At 40.6% G+C, this 14175-nt stretch overlaps 2 protein-coding genes across 8 annotated transcripts in view; one reads left to right on the forward strand and one right to left on the reverse strand.

The window, feature by feature from the left end:
- CHEK1 (checkpoint kinase 1) overlaps positions 1 to 13425 on the forward strand; it is a 55989-nt gene extending 42564 nt beyond the window's left edge. For 3 of the 4 annotated variants that reach the window (NM_001114121.2, NM_001330427.2, XM_047426311.1), the window contains one exon: positions 8229 to 8556. The gene's annotated coding sequence lies outside the window, so the exon portion shown is untranslated. Of the gene's footprint in view, positions 1 to 8228; positions 8557 to 10064 lie in introns of those variants that run through there. The other variant, XR_007062447.1, reaches the window with a different exon arrangement.
- ACRV1 (acrosomal vesicle protein 1) lies at positions 3823 to 13148 on the reverse strand. Of its 4 annotated transcripts, none has more exons than NM_020108.5 (5): positions 13030 to 13148; positions 10530 to 10598; positions 10098 to 10319; positions 8660 to 8779; positions 3823 to 5018 (listed from the first exon to the last, which is right to left on the reverse strand). In NM_020108.5, the coding sequence occupies exons 1-5, from the start codon at positions 13079 to 13081 to the stop codon at positions 4894 to 4896; spliced, it is 588 nt and encodes a 195-aa protein (NP_064493.1). In that variant the 5' UTR covers positions 13082 to 13148; the 3' UTR covers positions 3823 to 4893. The 4 variants fall into 4 exon arrangements, with proteins under 4 accessions (NP_064493.1, NP_064492.1, NP_064454.1 ...); NM_020107.5 differs by having other exon boundaries at positions 10098 to 10364; NM_020069.5 differs by having other exon boundaries at positions 10155 to 10598.

Here is a 14175-nt window from a genome sequence, read left to right on the forward strand (position 1 = left end):
AACCTCTGCCTCCTGGGTTCAAGCAATTCTTGTGTCTCAGCCTCCCAAGTAGCTGGAATTACAGGTGCATGCCACCACGCCCGGCTAATTTTTGTATTTTTGGTAGAGATGGGGTTTCACCATGTTGGCCAGGCTGGTCTCGATCTCCTGACCTCAAATGATCCACCCACATCAGCCTCCCAAAAAGTGCTGGGATTACAGGCATGAGCCACCACACCTGGCTGATTTTTAAAAGAGTTTCCAGTAAGTTTTAGTTACTATGTTCATTGTAAGGATTAGTCTAAATAATGTATCCCATCATTAAGTCTCAGTTGCTAGTATTTTTCCTCTAATTAATTCAGTATGTATTTCCTTAGAATAAAGACCTTCTCACAGACAACCTGGTTTAGTTAACAGAAATGAGGGTATTTAACATTGATATAACACTATTGTCTAGTTCAAGGTCCGCATTCAAATTTTATCAGTCCTAACAATGTCTTTTGTAAAAAAAAGTTTTTCCCCTTGCCTGTGTTCAAACCCAGATCATGCATGGTTTTCATGTCCCCTTAGTCTCCTTTCATTTGGAATAGTTCCTCGATGTTTATATTTCTTGACCTTGATACTTTAGAAAAATACAGACCAGCTATTTTGTATAATTTCCCTAAATTTTGTTTTATCTCATGTTCTCACATTATTGGGTTCAAGTTATGCATTTTCACAAGACCACTGTAGTGATGATGTATACTCAATTGTTGATATTTGGATTTTTGCCATTTTTTTTGTTTAACATTTTTATTTGACCCACCTAATTGTTGGGGGTTTTTTAAAATTTCATTTTAATTTCTCATTTTTAATTAATTATTTATTTATTTTTGAGACAAGATCTGTTGTCTCAAAAACAGACCTTGTCTGTTGTCCAGGGTATAGTGCAGTAGCACAATCATAGCTCACTGCAGCCTCAAATCCCTGGGCTCAAGGAATTCTCCTGCCTTAGTCTCTGGGTAACTGGGACTATAGGCGCATGTCACCATGACCAGATACTTTTTTAAAAAATAGTTTTTAGAGAGGGGGTCTTGCTGTGTTGCCCAGGCTGGTCTTGAACTTCAGGGCTTAAGCAATCCTCCCATGTCAGCCTCCTAAAGTTCTGAGATTACAGGTATAAGCCACCGTCCCCAGCCTTCATTTTATTTATTAGCTTTTTAACTGTACCTTTCTGTATTTTTTAAATTCTTTTTTCCAAGGATTATCATATCTTATCACAGTTTAAAGTTAATATTGTACTACTTCACTTAAAAATAAGAACCTTTCAAAAGTATAGGTCCACTTATCTCCTCATCCTTTGTGCTATTATTGTCATATATATCTACTTACATTAAAAAAAAGTCTGTGCAGGCATGGCTTTTAAAATTCAGAAAAATAGTATGTATGTCTTAAATTTACCCACATCTTTACTATATCTGGAACTGTTCATTTCTCCCTGTAGGTCAGGGTTTCCACGTGGTATTGTTTCTCTTTAGCCTGAAGTTCTTTTAGCTTGTGTGCATCTACTGGTTGTGAATTCTCTTAGCTTTGGTTTATATGGAAATGTGTTACCTTCGCTTTTGAAGGGTTATTATCTTGGAGATAACATTCTGCTGACAGTATTTTCCCTTCATTACTTCGAAGTATCTCCTCTTGTTTTCTGCTCTCCATTGTTTCTGATGAGAAATCAGTCAACATTTGTATCAGTGTTCCACTATATGTAATGTATCTTTTCTTTAGACCAGTTTTGAATTTTTCTCTTTGAATTTCAGTAATTTGCTTATTATGTGCCTAGGTATATTTCTTTTTCTTTTCTTTTTTCCTTTTTTTTTTTTTTTTTTTGTGATGAAGTCTCGCTCTGTCGCCCAGGCTGGAGTACAGTGGTGCGATCTCGGCTCACTGCAACCTCCGCCTCCCGGGTTTAAGTGATTCTCCTGCCTCAGCCTTCCAAATAGCTGGGATTACAGGCGCCCACCACCACGCCTGGCTAATTTTTGTATTTTTTTAGTAGAGACGGGATTTCACCATGTTGGCCAGGCTAGTCTTGAACTGCTGACCTCGTGATCCACCCGCCTCGGCCTCCCAAAGTGCTGGGATTACAGGCATGAGCCACTGTGCCCGACCATGCCTAGGCATATTTCTTTGTATTTATCCTCCCTTGAGTTTATTGAGCTTCCTAGATTTTATAAGTTTATGTTTTTCACCCAATTTGGCAAAATTTAGTTATTATTTATTTAAATGTCTTTTTCTGTCTCATCTCTTTCCTATTCTCAACTGCAATATCTTACATATTATTTGTTATGTTCCACAGTTCACTGAAGCTTTATTTTAATTCTTTTCCTGTGTTCTTCCGATTTGATAATTACTATTGATCTGTCTTCAAATTTGGTGACTAAACATGGTCTCCAATATGCTATTAAACCATGTAGGGATTTTTCTCAATTATTGCACTTCTTAGTACAGTAAATACAATAATTTCCATTGGTTCATTTTTATAGTTTCAGTATCTGTGTAAGATTCATTGTCTGTTTATTCGTATGGCACTATTTTCCTTTACATTCTTGAATGTATCTTTAATAGCTGTTTATTGCCTTTGTTCACTTTGTTCCAGTATCTGTGATTCATATGGGGGTCAAGGTCTATAGACTGCTTTTTTTTCTTGGCTATGGGTCACAATTCCCTGCTTTTTCTATGTGTAATAATTTTTTATTACATAGTAGACATAGTAAATGAGGAATTGTAGAGATTCTGTACTCTTCTGTTCCTCTGAAGAGTATTGACTTTTGTTCTATTAGGTCTGTCTCCTTCAATGTGGACAGAAGCTAAAATCACTGCCCTATTTTTTCAGCTTTCAGATGTTATTGTTTTTGAGCCTCCTGGAGTCAGTGACCAGACAATAATTTGGTCAGAGGTTATCCTCAAATTTAGGGGCTTCTCTGTGGCTGTCTTATTTTCAGGAGTACCCCCTAATTTTGCAGCTGCTCTGCTAGTCCCAACCTATGTTCTCTGAAACTTCAAACCAGTGAGCCTGTGGCTTTTTGCCAGCCTGTGATGCATGGATTGAGAAGTACCCTCCAGCATAAGCTCACAAATCTCTCTTTTTAGTGGTGACTTCTCTTCAGTTCCTTTGGAGGAGCTTTCAAATCTTTTTTTTATGTTTTGTCCAGAACATATAATTGTTACCTGTGAGAGGGTTACTTCAAATTATTCCACTATAAATGGAAGCCAGAATTTTCCTACCCTTAAATTTTTTTTTTAAGATGAGTCTCACTATGTTGCCCAGGCTGTCTTTGAACTCCTGGGCTCAAGTGATTATCCCACCTCAGCCTCCCAAGTAGGTAGGCCTATTGACATGAGCCATCATACCCAGTTAATTTTTTAACTTTTTGTAGAGACGGGGTCTTGCTGTGTTGCCCAAGCTGGTCTCAAATTATTTTCCTGCCTCAGCTTCCCAAAGCACTGGGATTACAAGTGTGAGCCATCATGCCTGGCTCCTTAAATTTTAACAACATATTTGAACTTACATTTTTCCCTCAACACCTATACCTAGTAGACTATTATTTATCTTCTCCCTTCAAAAAAAAAAGTTATTAGTGTTGACAATGTTGGCAGGCTTTCATTTCCCTTCTGGCCAAGTTGAAAATTCATTTAGGATTTTAGTTCCTGCTTTGGGGATTTTATTTTTGTATACTATTTTATCTAGGGGTATGAGTATAAGTTCAAAATAATTTTCCTTCAGAAGTTTGAAGATGTTCCATTTTCTTCCAGCTTACCATTATTGCCAGTGAAGAGCTTGTTAGCAATATATTTTGGGGAAGGGGTCATGATGTGTATATATGTTGAAATTTTAAATTTTATATACAGTAAAATTGACTTCTTGTTGTACTGTTCTAAGAGTTCTTAGAACCATTCTGGCTACTTTCATTGTGGTGGAAACAGCTCAGATTTAGATCTTGCAGATTTGGTTGTGGAATCTGCCTATAGCTCTCTGTAGCTCTGTAACCTTGGTAAATTTGGAACAACATGGAGTATGAATAAAGAAAACATCTCTGTGTCACATTTCCTTATTTGCAAAAAAGGATGATGCCATCTTTCCTGTCTACCACTCTGGGATCTTTCCTGAGGATCAGATGAGACCGTGTATGTGAAAACATCTTGAAGAACATAACACTTATATGAGGGACCGTTTAGTATTTCCATTTGCCCTCCTATCCTGTATAGATGATTCAGTAACATTGTGTGTGAAAAAAATGATTTAAGCATTATGAACTGCTGCAATATATAGCAAATAAGGAATCATTATACTATTATCATTATGTTAGTAGTGGACTACTGAAGACTAGAAACTCTCAAGAGCCAAAGAAGAGTTGAGTTTTTGTATGCCATAATAAATGGAAGAGTGTGTAGGGATGGAAAAGGGGGGGTGTCAGAAGTACCTGCACGTTTACACCCTGTAAAAGATTAATACCTACTTTGCATTCCTCTTTGTTGTCTCTGCCCTTGGAGACTCCTTTACTTTCATAAATATGGAATGCTTAAACAATGCACCCAGTTTAGTGTCGGTGTGGAAGGAAGCTCATGTTGACCCTGCAACTAGATTAATGGGGGAAAAAAAGGTCTGTCTTGAGCCTGTGTGCTTTAACCATGTGAAATTTATTGAAAAAAAAATCAGGAATATTGAGAGAAAGAGTTGGAGCAGGGAAGACAGGACAGAGAAGAATGGATAAAAGCATGAATAGAAGAAGAAAGATAGGATGTTTGAGCATCCTAATGCTCAGGCAGAGGCAGATGTGGTCAGTTGTTGACTGGGGAAGGAACTAAATATAAAATGAGCCAAATAGAGTGATGGAGGCTTTTTACTGCCTGAGTCAAAACAAGCAAGGGCCCAGGCTTCTAGATCTTATTGCAGAAAGATTGATTTCGACAGCATATAATTTGCATCCTCGTTCCATGGGAGAAGAGGTTCATAGATGGGCACATGTTCTCACACCCTTGAACCATGAATTGGAGTTTTCCACCTGAAAGGAGCAGAGACAGACTAGTGAGCAGAAAGCTTCGTCCTCCAACCTTAGCCTTTATCTGTGATGCTCAGTGTCTCCATGCAGGATGGTCAAGACCTCCACTTGTCCATTATCCCTTCTCTTTCTCTTCTATTTGCTTCCTCTGGGAACTTGCCCCCCATCAGTTGCCCACTCCTTTCTTATATTGTCAGTCCGTTTCTATGGACTCCTTTTTTGGTTTACAAGGATGCTCAGGTTACCCCAAATTTAAAATACTTTCTCTTAATCGTGCTACTCCCCTAGCACTATCCTTCCTTTCCTTACAGCCTTCCCAGAGTCTGCCTATCCTCCTCACCTTGGCCCCTCACAGTTTGAATCATGACCCTACTATGCCGAAACCTCTCTCAAAAGTCATAGAGATCTACTCATCAAATTCTGCATCCTTTTCTCAGGACTTTTTTAACCTCTTTGCTTGCACATCATACTGTGGACTACACCCTTTCTTTTCTTTTCTTTTTTTTTTTTGAGACAATCTCGCTCTGTTGCCCAGGCTGGAGTGCAGTGGTGCAACCTCAGCTCACCGCAGCCTCCACCTCCCAGGTTCAAGCGATTGTCCTCCCTCAGCCTCCTGAGTAGCTGGGATTACAGGCGCACCACCACACCTGGCTAATTTTTGTAATTTTATTAGAGACGGGGTTTCACCATGTTGGTCAGGCTGGTCTCGATCTCCTGACCTTGTGATCCGCCCACCTCAGCCTCCCAAAGCGCTGGGATTACAGGCGTGAGCCACTGCACCTGGCCTGAAACTACACCCTTTCTTGATACTCTCTGCTTCTGACAAGGTCTTCCCCACTGCTCATCTACTCCTCTGGATCCAATTATTTCTGCTCTCCCAAGTTGAACTGTCACATTACCAACTAACCGATGATCACCTCCATGCCAATATGCTAAGGGCATCTAAAACTTACTATGCCCAAAATGAAACTCATTACTTTCCTCCCCAAACCTGCTTGTTTTTGTGAGTTTCCTTTATATACTTCCTGTACCACACCTTCAAAACCTCTGTCATCTCTGATTCTTCCCTTTGCTTTTTCCATCCAATTTGTTGTGAAGGTCTGTCAGTTCTACTTGCAATCTAGTTTGTTTCTGTCACTCGGTTTCCATTTATCAAACATTTGGCCGGGCACAGTGGCTCATGCCTGTAATCCTAGCACTTTGGGAGGCCGAGGCAGGTGGATCACTTGAGGCCAGGAGTTCAAGACCAGCCTGGCCAAAATGGTGAAACACTGTCCCTGCTAAAAATACAGAAATTAGCCAGGCAGGCGCTTGTGATCCCAGCTACTCAGGAGGGTGAGGCAGGAGAATCGCTGGGGGGCAGAGGTTGCAGTGAGCTGAGATCGCGCCACTGCACTCAGCCTGGGTGACAGCAAGACTCCATCTCAAAAAAAAAATTAACGGACCTAGTAAGGAACTATGCTAGACTCTGGAGAATGCAAAGATTAATAACATCATTTGATGTCAAGAGCTGAGAGAGATAAAAATAGCCAATTATTACATGCAATGGAAAAACCATGTTATATGCTATGCTGGCAAATAAATGATTAATTTTGGTATTTTGATTAAGGGGGGCATAGTATCAAGGAAATTCTTAGGAAGGAAGTGAGACTGAACTAAGCTATGAAGAATTGTTAGCATTTCGATTAGAAAGGAAAGAGGATAATTTCAGGCTGAAGCATAACTGGAGAAAACATGAAAACATGAAACTGTTCAGGAAGTGGTGACTTGCGTAGCTGGAGTAAGTGTAGAGTGTAAACAGGGATGCAGAATGAGTGAAAAGACATGGGAGAGATGTTAATAAGTCTTTCCATCAGTCACTCCTATTACCTTTTACTGAAATATTACAATAGCCCTTTAACAGGTTCTCTTGTGTCCACTGTAACTTGCTTCTAAGGTAATCTTCCTGAAGAAGCGCTTTGACCAACCTGGATGGGCTACTGGCTCTGCCTTTTCCTAGTAACAGGTCTTTAGGCAAGCTCCTACTTTGTGAGGATTAAATGATAAAGGGTATTTTAAAATGCATATCATACTGTCTGGAAGCAATAAATAAAGGAGAACTATTAAATTCAAACTCTTTTTAACTGACACTGAAGCTCTTGTATCAGCTGGCTCCAGTCAACCTTTCCAAGTTTATCTTCTATGTCTCTGCTCACCATCCTCAAAAAACTCTTTGCTCTTTTTCCTATTTACATCCTGCACTTTTCTGACTTTTGCTTTCATTCCCTGTCTCTGGAATACCCATCAACCATTGCTGTATGACTAAATCAGTATCTCTTTAATCTTGACTGCACATCGGAATTGTCTAGGAGCCTTTAAAAAAATACTGATGCCTGGATTCTATTCCCAGAGATCCTGGTTTAATTGCTTTGGTGCAACCTGAACATTAGGATTTTTTAAAGTTGCTCAGGTGATTGTAATGTACAAACAAGATTGAGAACTCCTGGCCCAAATCGTAAATGTTCCCTCAAAGCATTTTCTGAATACCACCTTCTCCCCATACTTCTCTGCACCTCTAATCTTTCCTTTCCCTGAACTCTCTGCACTTTATATGTGCCTTTCTTAAGACACAATTTTCTCCCTTGTGATATTGTTTCTTATTTCTTACATTATAACATAATCTCTTTGTACACAGTTTATATTTGAGTCATCTTTCTGTAGTTCATGGTATGTGTCATTAATGTTTTCCGAGTGATGGTGGATGAATGTCTGCATGTAGAAATAGGAAAATGACATTTCTAGTGAGGAAGAAGAAAAACTACAAGAGGAGTCAGGCAGTGTGGTTCCTGGGATGGAAATAACCAGTATCCCTTATTTTAGGGATGAGGAACTGAGAGTAAGGGTAAAGAGGTGTGGGAATATACTCAGACTGGTCTGGTAACCTGTGAACACAGACTTGTAGACAGTTGTTTATTAGTTTATCCATTCAATATTTACTAAATGCCTACCATATGCTTGACATTGTGCTAGGTCCCAGGAATATATAGCTATAGCTTACAGTCAATGTCCCAATGGCTCATGGGGCAATCAACACATTGCTTTAATGGGAAGAGACAGCTAGTCTCTCTGCCTTCTCTTAGGCCTAATGGGAAGGGCATCTATCTCTTCATCAGTACCTGGTGGTAGAATAAAGAATTCTATTCTTTATTTTCTTTCTTTCTTTATTTTTTTTAGATGGAGTTTCACTCTTGTCTCCCAGGCTGGAGTACAATGGCATGATCTCAGCTTACTGCAACCTCCGTCTCCTGGGTTCAAGCGATTCTCCTGCCTCAGCCTTCCAAGTAGCTGGGATTACAGGTGCCCACCACCACACCTGGCTAGGTTTTGTATTTTTAGTAGAGATGGGGTTTTTTCATGTTGGCCAGGCTGATCTGGAACTCCTGACCTCAAGTGATCCACCTGCCTTGGCCTCCCAAAGTGCTGGGATTTTAGGTGTGAGCCACCTCGCCTGGCAAGGGATTCTGTTCTTAGTCCTTGAAAAAATAAAGTTCTGAATCTTCAAGTTCCTTGATTCTTTCCTGGGCCCCTGTCATTCCAACTGCCCCCTACCAGAAGTAAGTTGATGTGTTCTCAGGCAGAAATTGCCTCATGAAGTCCCCATATACCTTCAAAGATCTTCTTTAACATGCACTGCTGGGAATTCTGAGTGATGCAGGTTCCCTCTCCACGAAGACATTTTCCTTGATCATTCATATAAGCACATGTGTAGCAATTTAATATTGTGCCTGAAAATTTAAGATAAGCCTGATGACATTTCCTTGTGGACCAGATGTGTAGCCTTGATTCACATCTGGGAGGGGTAATGGGCAATAGGTAGCATGGATACTACACATTTATTTCTTAGTTCTTTTTGGGGATCTGGGCCCTGTGTCTGATAGACCTGTGCCAGAGGAAATTCCTTCATTCTTCTTCATCTCTGACCCTCATTGCTGATGAATCCCAAATTTCTCTCTCTAATATTTTTACTCCAGTCCATATCTGCATTGACTTCCTGGGCATTTATCATTAGATACCCTTCTGTCATGTGACAGCATAGGAGCAAAATGTATGTGTGATTTTCATCTCCCTTTTGTACTCCCCATCATACTCTCACCCACAAGGCACAAACACTTGGAGTCATATTTGACCGATTAATAAGCTATGTTAGAATGCTCTAACATTGCAAACCCTGTGAAGAGTGTGTCCTTCTCCATTTTCAAATTGACCTTATTGAAGGTCACTAACAGCACTATCTTTGAAATACTTCCATGTTGCCTCTTTTACTGTCTCTACTGCTAATCCCCCAGTTTGGGAAGCCTAAAGAAGTGGAAAGATTATGGGCTTTGCACAGTCCTAAGTTTGAATCCAAAGTTTGCCACTTTCTAGCCATGTGACATTGGACATATTACATTTGCCTCACTTCTTTCATCTGAAAATTTAGAATAATGATATTTAAACAATAGAGTGAAATGTGAACTATGTCTGGTAATAACTTGAGGCATCAAACTTTGGGTCTTGTTTTCTTTCCCAGAACAAACCCTTTTAATTAAGAGCCACAGACTAGCAGTTGTCCTAGGAACTCATTTCTGGATCTAAAAGAAAATAGCTTTACATTCCATGTTCAAACAAAAAGAACCACCAGCTGCACACATCTCTTTACAGAATTTGTAAAGTTATAGCATTCTAACATGGTTTAAGAGGCAGGGTTAGCATAAAGCTAATGAAGGTTAGTCTTCAGAACTCTGCACTTTCATGATCCCCTTCTAGGGAAGTCGGAAGGGCTGTGTATTCATAATTTCTTATGGAGAGTGAAGTTGGAGGGGTACTGGCATTTTGTATTTGTTTTATTTTTCTTATAGAGGGCCCTCCATATTGTTTAGCTTTCAGGCTCCCACATGCCTCTTGGTATGATTGTGACGAGAACTAGAGAGACTTTGAGAGAGCTGTTTGTGAAGTGTTAACAATTCTTTCTTCTGCACTCCTTCCCTAAAATTGGGTTTTCTTGATGTGTTCCCCATTTCCCACCTGAAGTCAATGACTGGCACCCATCCAAACATGGCTCACCTGTAGATGTGCTTGAAATTGGTGCACCTGAAGCCTGTTCCCCTGAAGCGTGCTCACCTGAAGGCTGTTCACCCGAGGCCTGCTCACCAGAAGGCTGTTCACCGGAGCCATGTTCACCTGAAGGCTGTTCATCTGAAGGCTGTTCACCTGACTCAAGCTCACTCAAAGGCTGTTCTCCGGAGAGGTGTTCACCTGAAGGCTGTTCTCCTGAAGGCTGCTCACCTACAGTATGCTCACCTTCAGCATGTTCAGTCGCAGCGGGCTCACCTGAAGCATGCTCACTCTCAGCATGTTCTCCAGAAGTGTGCTCGGCCACAGTGTGCTTGCTTGAACCATGCTCACTGGAACCATGCTCACTTAAAGTGTTCAGGCCTGAAGAAGTCTCATATAAAGCCTCAGCATCAGAAGGGTTTTCAAGTGAAAAGAACTCACCTGGAAGTTGCTGAACTGAAGTTTGATGATCTATGGAGCCAGAAAGCTCATTAGGCTGACTTGATGTTCCTGGGATGGAGAAGGAACAGAAGAGAGTTGGTGAAGCTGACAGAATGGGATAAAGACTATCTTCCTATGGAGTTAGGCTAATGTTATGAGACTCCTAGGTTTCCTATGGGCCTAGATTGGGCACCTGAAGACTGCAGATGTTGGGAAAAATCAACTAAGTATCCCAAAAGGCCATGGAGGACAGAAGTGTTTAGTGAAACAAACAGAGGCCACCTCTGGGATTGAAGGGAAGAATCTTAAGTTCCCCAATATTAAGAACTACTTAGGAGAATCCACTCATCCATGTACAAAAAACCCCTGAAGGAAAATGAATGTGCCTCCCTGACAAAGTCAGCATCAGGAAGTCAGGATACCATCCCTGATAGAATCAGAAGTTCGCCACCAACCCTCCCATTCCTCTATGGGTGAAAGACAAGAAGAGTAGAGATAGAAGAGGGAGAGAGAAAGCAAGTAGTTTTCAATACCTGAGTATTTGTAACCTAAATTAAGGGCGGAAGAGTTAACCTTTGGACAGGGATGACAAGTATGAGCCCACAAAAATTATCAGAAGGGATTAAGCCGCCTGTATTTGGTAATGTCAAGTATTTTCTCACACTCAATCCCCAATCCATGTGGGTTGGGGATTCAGAGAGCAAAGTTGCTATAAGCTATTAAGGTAAAAAAAAAAAAGTCTAGGCATATTATATATATATATATATATAGACACACACACATATATGAATTGTATCCTTGTGACATACCATTTACATTCACTTCATGGAGTTGTCCTGAGTACTTAATAAGATAAATTGTGAAGTGCACCATTGCCTAGTACTCAATTTTATTTTTCTTTTCTTCCCACCTTACACTGGGAATTACAAAACTCTTACATGGTTATTTTTTTCTGGCCAGTCTCTTCTACCTTTAATCCGTCTCTTTCTTTTTTTTTTTTTGTTTCAAAGATAGAGTCTCGCTCTGTTGCCCAGGCTGGAGTACAGTGGCACAATCTTGGCTCACTGCAACCTCCGCCTCCCGGGTTCAAGTGATCCTCCTGCCTCTGCCTCCCGAGTAGCTGGGATTACAGGTGCATGCCACCATACCTGGCTAATTTTTGTATTTTTAGTAGAGACAGGGTCTCGCCATGTTGGCCAGGCTGGTCTTGAACTCCTGACCTCAAGTGATCCGCCCGCCTCAGCCTCCCAAAATGCTGGGATTACAGGCATGAGCCACTGTGTCTGGCCAATCCATCTCATCATTGACTGTCAGACAAATATTCCTTAAGTATATTTTAAGTGAACAGAAGCACAAAACAGATAATTTGATTATTACTCTTTGATTAAACTGAGCCACCTAGAGGAAGACAAGTAGACTACAACAACCAAGTTATTTAATTCTAGCCAAAAGCTGAGAGGAATTATTGGATCTTTGAGGCTGAGGTAGTCTAAAACCCCAGAGTACTCAAAACTCTAAGAATCTTGCGATAGATATATTTTCTTGGCACAGTGCAGTACTTACAATCAGTGACTTTCTAAATGACTAGGGTGAGAATATGTTGATAAAGGAAAGGTAAGATTTAGTAAAGCTTTTAGGAGGTTTTTATTTTTTAAACTTATTACATAAATACTATCTACTTGACTGGTTTTTCAATAATTAACACAAGTTTTGATAAAGAGATGTTTCTGATATAGAAAGGAGACATAAAAAGCATGCTAATTTCTTGATCTTATAGTTTATGACTCGTGTCACCATGTGACTGGCACATACTATCACCTGGTGGCTGTGTATCTACATTTTTGAGTCAACTTTTGAAGGTCTAACAAAGCAAAAAGCAAAACCTCTGACAGTCGACATTATAGAAAATACATTGTTTTTTCACTGAAAGCTCAGAGCTCATGGCCTCTTTCTGCTGTAGGAGGCAGGAGGGAACACAGCACACCATGAATGGGGGATCCCAAAAGAAGAGATGATACAGAAAACCTGATTGATATAACACAGCCATGAAGAAGAGGCTTATGAAGTCTCTGGCCTATAGCTCTGTCGTGTTCTGAGGTTGTTTTCTGAACACATTACATCTTCCCATCTCCCATCTTTCCTTGGCACATTAACCACACAAGGATCCCTCACATTTAATTGGTGGGACAAACCTTCATTGGGCTTCTACAGAACCCCTAAGCCTACTTTTTCATCTCATGCAGCATCAGGTATAAATGTTGAGTGGCTAAAATAAGTAGAAACCAGACTGTGCCAAGCCAGTGGGACCCTCTGACTGTAAAGCTATGACTAGAGAAATCAACTGGTTCAGGAGCTCTCCGAGTTGGACTTGTTTAGCTGCTCTTGATTCTGACTCAGATTGGTTTGGGTGACTGAGAGACTGGTCTTCCTTCTTCAAGGCCTGAAATGTCTTAAGGGAGACCCCTTTTGTATTTACCTGAAGCCTAGATCAAACACTCACCTCTGGCAGATCCAAGCAGATAAAGACTCATTAGCAAGAGAAACCTGTTCATCTGGATTTAGGAAAAGAGGGGACCCCAGTGTGGGCCACAGCTTCTTCACAGAGCTATGAAGCAAACTGCGAGCAAAAGCTTCCAGTGCTGAAGCAGAGCTTCTGGGAATTCTAGAACCTCAGAAGTAACCCATGTTTCTTCACAATGGGTTGGGCTCTGAGGTTCTTGTGTAGCCTGTTCAGGCAAGTTGGCCCTTAGCAACCCACTGCTTATTTCACTAGTGAAGACCAATGATTATTTTCTGTGTGCAGGGTAGTGTGTTGGGGCTATCTGCCCTATCTTTAAAAAAAAAAAAAAAGTATTACCAAAAAGCACATATTTTTTGTAATAAAGTTTAAAAGATATCTACTGTCTTTTAAAAGTGTTTTTGACAATGAGATGTAATTGTTGATTGTTTTCTGTTTGGCTTTCTAAATCAGCCTTTCTTGGCTCTGATCTGTACCCTGGAAGGTTGACCTCTGTTGACTTTATCACCTGAATGCTGGCTGGATTTGGCTTCAGATTGGGTTTATACAGGATTGGAGGGGAGAAGAGAGAAAGAGAGAGAGGAAGAGGGAAGGGAGGAATGGGGAGAAAGAGAGCGAGACTGGAATATTTGTTCTTCCTATTCCCTTCCTGCCACAGTTGACACTGGCTGAGTCTACATGACAGAGCTTCTGTTGGGTGTCCTCTCTTCCATGGCTCCAGCTCTCATCCATGCTATGGTAATATGTTTTTCTCCCCCTGCCCTCTTAGGCCTAGGGATGATAATGGTTTCCTGCTGTTACTAAAATCTGGATGCCCAAACTTATCTCTTTTTTTGTTTGTTTGTTTCCTTAACCTTGCCCACTTCTGTAAATAGTCTTTTCATACAGACCTTTATCAACATGGTTTTAGCAGGAAACAGGTGGCAAACTCAAATGGGTAACTGAGGAGAGTTTACACAGATATGGGCAGAGTAAAGAGATCAAGAGACAGTAGAAAGCTGCGTTTTGAGCTGCAACTTGGTAGCAAGGGGGTGGCCAAGCTGAGAAGATGGATGCAGTGAGGCATCCACCTGATATAAAACTAGAACTTATGGAGGATTGAGTGGCAAAGATCTGGTAGCTTCCATT

The sequence above is a fragment of the Homo sapiens genome, chromosome 11 (genome assembly GCF_000001405.40).
Source record: "Homo sapiens chromosome 11, GRCh38.p14 Primary Assembly".
Taxonomy (NCBI): Eukaryota; Metazoa; Chordata; class Mammalia; order Primates; family Hominidae; genus Homo; species Homo sapiens.